The sequence below is a fragment of the Homo sapiens genome, chromosome 14 (assembly GCF_000001405.40).
Source record: "Homo sapiens chromosome 14, GRCh38.p14 Primary Assembly".
NCBI classification, from domain to species: Eukaryota; Metazoa; Chordata; class Mammalia; order Primates; family Hominidae; genus Homo; species Homo sapiens.
The window spans coordinates 73,216,777-73,229,007 of record NC_000014.9 but is presented as its reverse complement, the minus strand read 5'-3'; the positions used below and the strand labels follow the sequence as shown (position 1 = coordinate 73,229,007).

Here is a 12,231-nt window from a genome sequence, read left to right as displayed (position 1 = left end):
GCTCAAGGGACATTGGTTTTATGAAGCAGTACCTTCCTCTGTGGCTTTTCTTGGTTAAATGTGGGGTATGTATTAACAACCGCCCTATCCTTTATTCCCCCTGCATCCAATGTGGTGACAATGACCCAGGACAAACCCATACATCTCTCCAGATGTCACAAACGTGAACTGGGGGAGGAATCCTGTTTGTATTCATCCTGACCACCATTTATAAATTCAGGTCTCCTGAAGGGATAAGGCTGGTTGACTTCGGCTCCACACTCTCCAGCACAGCCTTGTAAACAGGGGCAAAAGCTGGTTAATGTTTGTTCTTACTCACAACAATTCCCATGCACATGACCTATTGACATCATTCTGCATGGAAATCCCCTCCCGCAGACCCCGCAGCCACCCCTACAGTCCTTCACTGACTCACCATTTATTGGGCAACTGCCAGGAGTTTAAGAAATGGGACGGCGCCCAAGCTCCCTGGAGGGTCAGGCAGTGGCAAGGTGGCCCCTCGGTCTGTATTTGCCATCCTTAGCTCCTGTCACCGGGCTCGGAGGCATCAGGGTGACCCATCCATTTCCCTTTGCCTGTCCAGGCAGCCAGAGTCTGCAGACAAGGGCGGGGCTCGCTCTGAAAACGACAGGGGCGAGGGAAGACTCGCCAAACCACAGGGAAATGAGAGAATCAGGTCCCCAGCCCCTCCCAGCCCGGGGCAGAATCCTCCAGCAGAGCCATCTGGCAAGGAAGGAGCTTGGAGTGAGAAAAATGCGCTGGAGGTGGGCCCCATCCAGGGAGCGAGGAGCGGAGGGAGGGGCTGCGGGAACATCTGGGTTGGCCAAGTTCCCAGTGGGAAGATGGGGTCAGATTTGTCTTCAGCATTGGGGTGGGCCAGGGGGCCCTCCGCGGAGTGGCAAGGCCTCACCCTCTTTCCCACCGCTATGGAGCACTGCCAGGAAGAGAGAGGGTAAAGGAGCCCATCAGTTGACTGGCAGAGCAGCGGGGCTCCAGGCGGGGTCTTGGTGGCACTCCAACTCTGAGACTTGGAATGGGCCTCCCTTCACAGGAATGTTTACCAAAGTATGTTTTGATTTAAAAACAAAAATCAATTCATGCAATAATTACCAAATGCTTGGAGCACCTTGGCGAACCGTGTTATTACATATCTTTAATGACAAAAGCTGCATAATCACTTATAACATGTCTATGCCTTTATCCATAGTGCAAGAGGGGAAAGAGGGAATTCTGGTCCTTGACAATTGAGAAAACAGAGTCCTCAAAGATGACCTGCCATGTGTGTGGACAGGCAGAGGAGCCGGTCCCTGTCTCCTCCCTCAAGTGGGCTGCACTGGCTCCATCGCCATGGGCCCATCTGACACATGGGGCACCCTGGCTCAGTGGGCAGCACCCTACATCGCCAGTGCAAACAGCCTGTGCCGTCAACAGCACATTAACCCAGGCAGGCTGGCTTCACTTTCAGGTCTGACAGAGGCCAAAGGGCCTAAAATATCCTGAAATTAATTTCTGGATGCCCACAGAAGTAACCTGAGAGCCAGAGAAGGCACATTTACAAAACGTGAAACACTGGCTGGGCACGGTGGCTCACGCCTGTAATCCCAGCACTTTCGGAAGCCAAGGCGAGCAGATCACCTGAGGTCAGGAGTTTGAGACCAGCCTGGCCAACATGGCGAAACCTCGTCTCTACTACAAAAATTAGCTGGGTGTGGTGGCGGGCGCCTGTAATCTCAGCTACTCAGGAGCTGAGGCAGGAGAATCACTTGAGCCCAGGAGGCAGAGGTTGCAGTGAGCCGAGTTTGCGCCACTGCACTCCAGCCTGGACGACAGAGCGAGACTCCATCTCAAAAAAAACACATAAAAATAAAAATAAACAAACAAACAAACAAACTGTGAAGCACTGGCTCAGCTCTCCCAGCCCTGGCCTAGGGGGCAGATATGAAATAAACCAAAGTGAAGGCAGACACCCTTGCAACCGAGCATGGCCTCCAACACCCTCACCGTGTCCTCAGACTGTGCTTGGGCCTGTGCAGGTTCCCCAAGATAAAAAGCCCTTCCCCTTCTGCTGGGATGTTCCAGTCCTCAAGCCTGGTGACATTTTAAACTAGATGACCTTGGAGCTGGGTGATTATAGAGAAGATCCCTGAACTGGGAGCAAGGGGGAAAGGAAAGCTCGGCTAGGAGACACCAAAACAAGGCCTCCCGAGCAGATGTCCCCTGAGGGAGGAGGAGGCATGGAAGCCATTTTCGACATTTCAGAAAATCTGAAGAACTCATACATTCATGTATAAATTTATAAACTATAAATTATAAATTTATAAATCATACATCTAGCCCACATAAGTTAAAACTCAGTTATCTCACTAAATAAGTTTAATACTATTTTATGATATATGTGGGTAAATCTGATTAGTAAACAGAAAAACCAGTTATTACAAGTCATAGGACATTTTTAAAAACCTGAATGCCAGACAAAGTTCCAAATTTCTCTCTTCGGTTTCTCATCGAGCATTTGGAAGAACACTATGTCTCCACCCCTGCATGGAGATGCACTAGCCCTGAAAGCACTCTCTTAAATTCAGGTATTTAAATGTAGTATCATGTTTAGCTCCAGTCTTGCTTCCCCTTTACATCATATGTGTACTCTATCCTTGAGTTTAGTCTACGACCGAGAAAACAAATCACAATCAGACTTTCACCGACAGGTCCACCTTGAGGTATGCTATAGGTTTACTCCATAAGGGTAAGAAAATCCTTTCCTCTTATGCACGAGAAATTGACCTTGGGTTATGTATAGTCTATATCAAATCCTATGCAATTTAAAAAAAAAAAAAAAAGCAGGCCAGGCACGGTGGCTCATGCCTGTAATCCCAGCACTTTGGGAGGCCGAGGCGGGCGGATCACCTGAGGTCAGGAGTTCGAGACGAGTCTGGCCAGCATGGTGAAATCCCATCTCTACTAAAAATATGAAAAAAAAAAAAAAATTAGCAGGGCGTGTTGGCATGTGCCTGTACTCCCAGCTACCCAGAGGGCTGAGGCAGGAGAATCGCTGGAACCCGGGAGGCAGAGGCTACAGTGAGCCGAGATTGCAGCACTCCAGCCTGGGCGACAGAGAAAGACTTCATCTCAAAAAAAAAAAAAAAAAAAAAAAAGTAGAAGAAACAGAGGCAGCAAGAGCATGTCTCCCTTTCTGCCAACAATTAGGACTTGAACAAATTTGGTTCCCGAGGCTTTTCCCGTCTCTCCCTTTGAAGGGCGTGGCATACCAGGCACAGGACAGTCCATGCAAGCACATCAACCTTCTCCAAGCATGGGACACTCCACATGTTGAAAGACCCCTGTGGTAGATTAGGTCATCATCCTCTAGGTCACTACAAGTCATGTGATGAAGGAGATATATTCTAAGTAAATATGAAAACAGATTTGGTTAGCTAATTGGATTTTCCTCTGAATAAATCATCACCTTTATTCAAAAACCAATTATCCATAGGTGTCTCCCAGGTACTTCCGTCTTCCTGATTTTTAGTACAGTATATGTCCTTTGCCTTCTTGGCCAATTCAGGCTTTTTCCCCCTTTCCAAACTGAGTTCAAAACTTTATTTCTGGCTAGGTGCAGTGGCTCACTCCTATAATCTCAGCACTTCAGGAGGCTGAGCTGAGAGGATCACTTGAGCCCAGGAGTTCAAGACCAGCCTGGAGAACAAAGCAAGACCCAGTCTCTACACGAAATAAAAAATAACTAGCCAGGCATGGTGGTGTACACCTGTAGTTCCAGCTACTCAGGAGGCTGAGGTGGATCCTTTGAACCCAGGAGTTCAACAACGCAGTGAGCCATGATCGCGCTACTACACTCCAGCCTGGGCAACAGAGCCAGACCTTGTCTCCAAAACAACAACAAACCTTCTTTCTGAGAAATTTCTGATTTTAAACCCCTGCTTTTGTGGATCTCTCCTTTACTCTTTCTCATTCAACTGACAAGTCAACATTGCACTCGTACTCAAGTATGCTGTCATTTCACTTTTGACCAGATCCTAAGCTACTCTCCACACCGCACACAGAAGGGTCCCCAGGAAGAAGGTGTGGCATGGGCTGACGGAAAGCTACGGGACTTACCTAGAGACACAGGAAACCCAGCCTCACTACCCTTGCTTCTCAACCCTGCTCAAAGTCCGTCCTCATTCTCATCAAGATCACCATTGTCCCATCCTGGTTAACACGGTGAAACCCTGCCTCTACTAAAAATACAAAAAAATTAGCCGGGCGTGGCGGGCGCCTGTAGTCCCAGCTACTCAGGAGGCTGAGGCAGGAGAATGGCATGAACCCAGGAGGCGGAGCTTGCAGTGAGCTGAGATCGCGCCACTGCACTCCAGCCTGGGCAACAGAGCGAGACTCCGTCTCAAAAAAAAAAAACAAGAACACCATTGTCAGGACCCCTAAAAATCAGAAACCTCTCCCAAGTCCTGATGCCTCTGTAGGAGACTCCACAGACACTGCCTAAAAGAGCCATGAAAACAAATGATGCCTCCAATTCTCAAAGGAGGGAATAAACACTCCCTGCTTCCTGATGCCCTTAGCAGATGTAGCCGGGAACACATCAATGTCTTATCTGCCCCCTTCTGAAGACCATGGCCAACTGTGGTTTTTCTGCCATAAATGTATTTCTGATCAATCATTTCCAGATTGTATGTTATTTACTGTTTAGAAACAAAACGTTTTATCAAGTTTGGGGAATGGAGTGAGAGGACATTCTATGCTCTACCAGGTCAATAAAAGTAATGTTGCCTTTTCCCATTAGTGTGACCTAATTTCTTTAAAAAAAATCCTCCAGCACATATCTGCACTGTACAACATACGTCTTATAAGTTTACAGTTTCTTCTGACATATTTACATTAATGTGAAAGTTATTAGAAAAAATATCTTTCAGGATGTATTAAGGATAGCTGCTTTGGGGCTTTTATAAACAGATTTAATATTACACTCTTCAGAGCTGTGGTGTGCTATAATCCATACCACTTTCTTATGAGTTAAGAATAGAAACAATGCATTTGTTTCTAAACTTTTTTTTTTTTGAGACAGAGTCTTGCTCTGTCGCCCAGGCTGGAGTGCAGTGGTGAGATCTCGGCTCACTGCAACCTCTGCCTCCTGGGTTCAAGCGATTCTCATGCCTCAGCCTTCCGAGTAGCTGGGACTACAGGCGCCCACCACCACGCCTGGCTAATTTTTGTATTCTAAACTGTTTCTTGATAAGTGCTAGACAGTTCTGTGAGTTACAGTTATACATTATGATACTTTCATGTAAAAAACACTAGCACAGCTGGATTCATGCAGTCTTTATTAATCTGACAAATACAGAAAATCTGCAATCAGCTATCAAAATTATATCTTACCAAGAATTTGAAAGGTATTTATAAAAAAGGTGTATTCACAGTCTGTCTGAATTAAGTACAAAGCAGTGTCCACAGAAGCAGAAGGCAGACAACATGTGAGAGTAAATGATCCCACTGAAACCCTCACCCCAGCACCTCCAAGGACACCAAAAACAAGACAGTCCTGTACTTGCTACTATATGCAGCTGACTTTGAAACTGCCTAGTCTCAACAATTACGTATTTCAAAAGGAAAATTGCTTTCTGGGAAATCGTCCCTGCTACACAGACACACAGACCAACTGGCAATGCTGCCACCACATGTCAGGGCTCAGGGTGGACCCAGCACATCCACTAAGAGGCACCCTGCTGCCCAAGGCTGTGGGAGACAGCTTTGATGTTCAAGAAAGGGGTTCATTTCAGCACCAGGGTGCTTTTTTATATGCAAATCTGAGGTGTTTCCCGTTAGAGGAGAGGACTATGCAGATGATCACATGCAGATGTCTCTGAGCTGTGAGCCCGATGACAGCTTTGTTGGTACACTCTGGCCAGCCATTTCACAACGCACTATGAAGAGCTGAAACCTCTGTTTTTAATCTCTTGTGTTGTGGGAATTTAAAGAGGTGAGAAGATCACAAGGATCACTTCTAGGCTCAAACTTATGATTATATGATAGTTTCCAGCCCAAGGGCAAAACCAAATGTCCAATTTTCACGTCTCCTTCCAAATTCAATGTTGGAAGGCAGGTGAGGAGGTGAGGAGAAGGGCAGGTCAAACTGTTCCTTATAGACATAACAGCAAATTTAGAGAAGGAGTACTTTACTGAATGGATTGATTTCTGAATCAAGTCACTTTTATAACACCAATGTATAAGCCCTCAGTAATGGTAACTGTTAAAAGTGGTTATTTGACAAATACCCAATATTTTAGAGAAGTTAAAGAAAGATGGCATATACCAGAAAACAAGAGATTATAACTACATTCTGAGAATTTATCTTATTCATCTTTGCATCCTCAGACTCCAGAACCTACGGGAACACAGAAAACACTGAACAAATTTTTTCATAGTGGTTTCTGAGCTCTTTTTCTTCCAGGGTTAGATCACAAATGATCAAATATACAAAGCCTTGGGGGTTGGGATCAAAGGCTTCCCGCAGTCATCTAACCCTGGGAGACCTTATTTGGTAGTTAAACTTATATTTCACACTCTACAAGTTATATCGAGAATACATACACTGTCTGAGGCCACGTAAATAACAAGTAATAAACATCATCTGTTTGGGCATCTATTGCAAAAGGAGGGTTTTTAAAAGCAGAGAGACTACAGAATGGGAATCCCGGAGTCTGAAAGTAAAAACACTGCCTCTTCAGTTGTTGCTTCTGTAGTAAAATCAACAAATTGCTTACTTATGACTGTTTTCTTCCAAGTTGCTTAGAAAGCTTCTACTTTTTCTAATTGAGAAATTGAGTCATTTGGAGTCAGAGCTGTGATTCTAGGAACACACACGAACCTACTGAGAACCAAAAACAGGAAGGTGAGTCTTTCCTCTCTGAAAAAAAATCTGCAAATCTTCCAAATATGATTGGTATTCCCATAGGCATGTAATGACATTCTGTCCATAAATACCCTTTATTCTGTAGCCCAGTCAGACTCAGACTCTTAGTGGCTACTTTCCTTCCTTACTGTCTTCCATCTTTTTATTAAGCAGATTGGCTTGGCTGGTCATACTCTACTGCTGGTTTTGCCCGACTCTATAACCACCGCCTGTCCCGTGTGAGTGAAGGCACATCCTTATGGAAATTGCTACTGTTCTTTCCAGTGACAATCTATTTTTCATGGTGGAAGACTAGCATTTGGATGTTTTAGGAATGACTGAACTAATTCTAAAAAGAATGTTTGAGGGAAAAGTTCTCTGCCTGAGATGAATGATTTAAAGAAATAAGATGGGCTGTAGTCTCAGCTACTCAGGCTGAGGTGGATTACTTGAGCCCAGGAGTTCAAGTCTAGCCTGGGCAACACAGCAAAATCCTGTCCTTTAAAAAAAAAAAAAGGAAAGATAGGTTCTCTGTACACTGTCTAACAATGTGGCTGAGATGTGGCTCAAACTTGGAGAAAGAGACAGAATAATTGCCATCTTTCTACACAGGACAATCAGTAATACATAGGATGGATTTAAATACACACACCCCACGTACCCTCTTCAGAGAAGAAATGTATCATGAAAGGTGCAACACATTTGGGATCCTTACACAAATAAATTACTCTAGATTAGGGATCCCTCAAGAATGCTTCCAATCACAAATTGCTATTCAGGTGGCTTTGCTGTAGCTGTGCTTTCTCAATGATAATACCCATGCTAGCACATGTCTGAGAGAGGGAATGAATCTTGGAAGAAGGGATTTCATGGAAAAAAATGAATTGAGATGATAGAACCTACTACTTTAAATCCCCCTTTCTTTGCATAGCTCTTATTTTTCCTGTCTGTGACTGCCTAATATAAGCCAATTTTAATTTAAATTCAGATCAGTACTCGCACACTACTCTTGAAGTTAGGTTCTTATAAGAAATATCCTGGGACAGAAAACAAATATTCTAAACACCAAAGACAGCCCCAAACCAGGTCATATCATATCATAGATTGGGAGAGAAAACAGCAGGCAAAAGAAGAAAAAGCTGGCCCCTCCTCAGCCACAGGAGGAAACTAAGTTTCTCATAAACGCTTACGGTCTGATCAGCATAGCTAAGGGCTCTCTGTGGTAAAGAAGGTTATGCCCCACAAGCCTTTGTCCAGAGGTGCCCTGAGCCCACACAGGCTGATGGCTGTTTGTGTGTTTTGCCTGACTGAGCTGCCCAGAGCCTGAACTCCATGGTAACTGCAGCAGGCACCTCCACTGCCCAGTTCACACAAAGGTACATTGAGAGGAAAGGTAACGCGGGCAGAGACCACAAAGCACCCATTTGTGGAGCTGACGAGAATAACCTGAAACTCCTCCTTGACATCATTAGCTCACTGTATCCCCTTCGCTGCTGGAGGCCCCTTCTCTTTCCCCTTGGCAGTTGGTTCTCCTTCTGCCACCAGGTTCTCCCACAGCTCACCAAGTTAAATATGGCTTTCCCCAACTCTTGCTTTGTGTTGATACAACTAGTTCATAATTCATCAACCACCAGCTTTTGGCTATTTGTTCAAATTCTGAGCTACTGTGTGGCAAAAGCAAAAACAAAATACCAGGACAGAAAGTGCTTCAACAGCCATTTTACTCTTCTTTAATTCTACCGTCTTTGGGCATACATCTCATTTGCTGTGGAAGAAGGTCTGACAGCAGGGCTGACAGCACCGATTCATAACACATTCTTTTCATCATACAAAGAGTAAGACCCTAGAATAATGGGACCATCTGCTACCACGACAGAGCTGCCTTACTGGCTGTAGAAAAAGACTGCTTGTGTGGGAGAGAAGAATGAGGACAGAGGAGGCATCTGGGGCAAGTGAGCGTACAAGTATGTCTACAAATTCAGAATTTGGTGGAAAATCCAAATTTGACTTCAACATGATAGAGAATTGATGAGAAATAGCTGTACTGTTTCCAAAATTTACTGAATTTGGAACCTGAGGTTAAAACTTTTAGGATAAAGCAACCTCAGGTTCAGACTGGCCTTGGGAAGAAATGGCAATCACAGACGGTAATGAGTGTCAGTGCTTGAGAAGAAGAATTGCCAAAGGCAATCTACATATTTGACTTGACTCAAAGAGAGGGGAAAACAAGTCTCATTTAAAAAGGATGAGTCTGCAGCAAAAAATCAAAGGGAAGCTGGAACCCCTGCCCACCTCTCCATTCCCCATTCTGCTGCTGGTGCCTGCTCTTCCTCACAGTACCTCCTGAAAAGTTCAGAATTCAGTTAATACAGAATTATTGGGTTGATTTTCAACGTGTAGTTTAAGATGAAGAGTTCCGTTTGGTTTAAACCACTTCACCTAACCTCTTGGTAACGGTAGTCCTGAGAGTTCGCAGTGTCAGTGAAATCGTCCTGTGACCACGCGTCAAGCTGCTGATGGGGCACAGCAACTTCCGGGCCTATCATATCTCCTTGACCTCGTCCCTCAAATCTGGTAGTTTCTGCACCGAGGGACACAGTCCACTGCGATGAAGTATGTTCAAAATCGTTTTCTATAGGCACCTCCTTCCAAAGTCCAATAGTGCAAGGTGGTCAGGAAGACTTGGAAGGAAGCTGCAAAAGTCCAGCCGGGAATCTTGACTTTGTTAGATGTGGACACAGGAAAATCACCTTTGTCCTCCCCAGATTTTGTTATAGTCAAAGAAGAAACATCCATGGGATTCTAACCGCAAATATGCTAGATATAAAATTGATGGAATGCTAATTGGTCCATAAAAGGCTGTACAAGATAATCTGTGGCAAAGTAGAAAACAAGCCCAAAGGTGATGGAGATTGGAAGAGCTGGCAATGCTTTCTTGAAAATGGCAAGGAGTAATAATGTAAGGCACAAACCCTGTGGAGAAGATGGGAAAGACACACATTCACACATAATTATGAAAGCATTTTCAGGCAAAACTCAATCACAAGTCTTGGTTTTTAACATAGTTAACTGAATATTTTCCTTTTGGGGTTAAATTTTAGAACAGACGTTCATTCAATCTGGAAGAAGAGCTATGAAAAAAACCTAGCTTTTGTTTGTTTCATAGGGTTCATTATGCACACATTGTTATTTTATCCCTTAATTCTAGTAAAGAAATAGAATCTGAAAATAAGTAAAACTACTTTGAAAAAAATTAAAAGATACAGAAATTTCTATCTTAAATGATGTGTTGGCCTCTGTGATTTTAGTTTGGCTGGTTAAAAACCCAGAGGTGAAGAGCATTCTCTATGCTGTGCGGGGGCTTCTCTATGCTGTGCGGGGGCATTCTCTATGCTGTGCGGGGGCTTCTCTATGCTGTGCGGGGGCATTCTCTATGCTGTGCGGGAGCATTCTTTATGCTGTGTGGGAGCATTCTTCCCGCACAGGCTCCTCCGTGAAGCATGATGAGGCTGCAGTGTTTAAAAAATAAAATAAACTAAAAGTTTATTTATGAGGAGTACACTGCTTTCTTGTAAACACATGTACAAGCCATATAATAGAGTTCATTTTTTACCCTAGTTACGGAAACACTAGAAAGTCTTCACCCGGCCAAGATAACACATCTTTAGTAAAAATAGCAAGAAATATTTTATGGGTTGTTTACTTAAATCATAGTTTTCAGGTTGGGCACAGTGGCTCATGCCTGTAATCCCAGCACTTTATGCGGCTGAGGCAGGCAGATCAGTTGAGGTCAGAAGTTTGAGACCAGCCTGGGCAATGTGGCAAAACCTCATCTCCACTAAAAATACAAAAATTAGCCAGGCATGGTGGTGCACACATGTAATTCCAGCTACTTGGGAGGCTGAGACAGGAGGATCGCTTGAACCTAGGAGGCAGAAGTTGCAGTGAGCTAATGTCACTGCACTCTAGTTTGGGCGACAGAGCAAGACTCTGTCTCCAAAAAAAAAAAAAAAAAAAAAAGCCAGGTGCGGTGGCTCACGCCTGTAATCCCAGCACTTTGGGAGGCCGAGGCAGGCACATCACTTGAGGTCAGGAGTTCAAGAGGAGCCTGGCCAACATGGTGAAACCCTGTTTCTACTAAAAATACAAAAATTAGCCGGGCGTGGTGGCAGGCACCTGTAATCCCAGCTACTCGGGAGGCTGAGGCAGAGAATCACTTAAATCTGGGAGGCAGAGGTTGCAATGAGCCGAGATTGCACCACTCCAGCCTGGGTGACAGAGACTCCGTCTCAAAAAAAAAAAAAAAAAAAATCATAGTTTTGAAAGCTTCAGGGTTCATGCTGTAGCACTATCAGCAAGATCTATGTGGGGTCATGCATGGCACCAGCTCCTCTCACTAGATGCTTGCTGTCTTAAGTAACACTGCATGCTACAGGTTGTGTCATTAAATGCAAAACCACCACCAAACTCTCAGTGATTAAGTCCAGGGACTAAGGAAGGATCTGTTTATCCCTGTAAGACCAACCTTACAGAGCTAATTTCCTACATATCTGTGCTGCTAGGCTTGAGGCAGCGGTTCCTAAACAGAAATACCAGAATTTCCTGGGGAATTTTAAAAACTACACAATTAAATTGAGTAAGAATATCTCAGGGCAGAGCTTACAGTTTTAAAAGCTCCCAAGTGATTCTAATGTGTGGCCAGGGTAGAGAACTACTAAGGTGAGGTCCAATTATCAAAAAGCTCCTCAGATAGCTGGAATATTTAACCCACCTGGGGTTAAAACAGAACTGCCTTAAAGGGACTGTGTAATCAAAGTTTTGACATTAAGAGCTCTGACACATTCTTATTAGTGTATACTTACAATTAATATGGCTACGAAACAGGCTATGGTTGTGTTCCAGTCTCCACTGGCTGTTGCTGAGGCTTTACCAACCAGAACACTGTAGAAAATGAAATCTCCCAATCCAAGTTTTACTCCCCCTAAAAAGGAAAGGTTACAAATATTAAAAAGTTGGTCACTCTTTGCTATGATTTCACAATTCAAAAATATCACTGCCCTACTCAACCCCACAATGAATGAGAGAAGTCAGTAAATGATATACAAAATTAGGCTTCAGCTGTGTTTTCTTTCTTTTTTGGTTTTCTACAATAGGAGTTCCAGATTCTATGTGACTGACTCTGGAGTCTTAACTGTAGATGCTGCTGTTATTTATCAATAACAATAATAAGTAATAATCGTCATCTATTGAATATATAGTTTATACCCAGCACTTGTACTAAGAAATCCTTACAAGAATTCTGAGATAGGCATCATTTTATCATATTAATT

General features: G+C 44.0%; 1 protein-coding gene across 10 annotated transcripts in view, besides 2 other annotated features; it reads right to left on the bottom strand.

Moving 5' to 3' along the window:
* Nucleotides 1,052–1,947: an enhancer, noted in NCBI's record as "H3K27ac-H3K4me1 hESC enhancer chr14:73693769-73694664 (GRCh37/hg19 assembly coordinates)". NCBI's record gives its function as "activates a minimal SCP1, AML or CMV promoter by ChIP-STARR-seq in naive and primed H9 embryonic stem cells {active_cell/tissue: H9 hESC(naive and primed)}" and the evidence as "EXISTENCE:reporter gene assay evidence [ECO:0000049][PMID:30033119]".
* Nucleotides 5,317–12,231, bottom strand: part of PSEN1 (presenilin 1) — an 87,275-nt gene continuing 80,360 nt past the window's right edge. For all 10 annotated transcript variants that reach the window (XM_047431602.1, XM_047431601.1, XM_047431600.1 and 7 more), the window contains exons 11-12: nucleotides 11,764–11,882; nucleotides 5,317–9,874 (exon numbers count right to left, since the gene is read on the bottom strand). In XM_047431602.1, coding sequence (XP_047287558.1) covers nucleotides 9,719–9,874; nucleotides 11,764–11,882 — 275 coding nt within the window. In that variant the 3' untranslated portion in view covers nucleotides 5,317–9,718. The remainder of the gene's footprint in view (nucleotides 9,875–11,763; nucleotides 11,883–12,231) is intronic.
* Nucleotides 5,561–6,073: an enhancer, noted in NCBI's record as "NANOG hESC enhancer chr14:73689643-73690155 (GRCh37/hg19 assembly coordinates)". NCBI's record gives its function as "activates a minimal SCP1, AML or CMV promoter by ChIP-STARR-seq in primed H9 embryonic stem cells {active_cell/tissue: H9 hESC(primed)}" and the evidence as "EXISTENCE:reporter gene assay evidence [ECO:0000049][PMID:30033119]".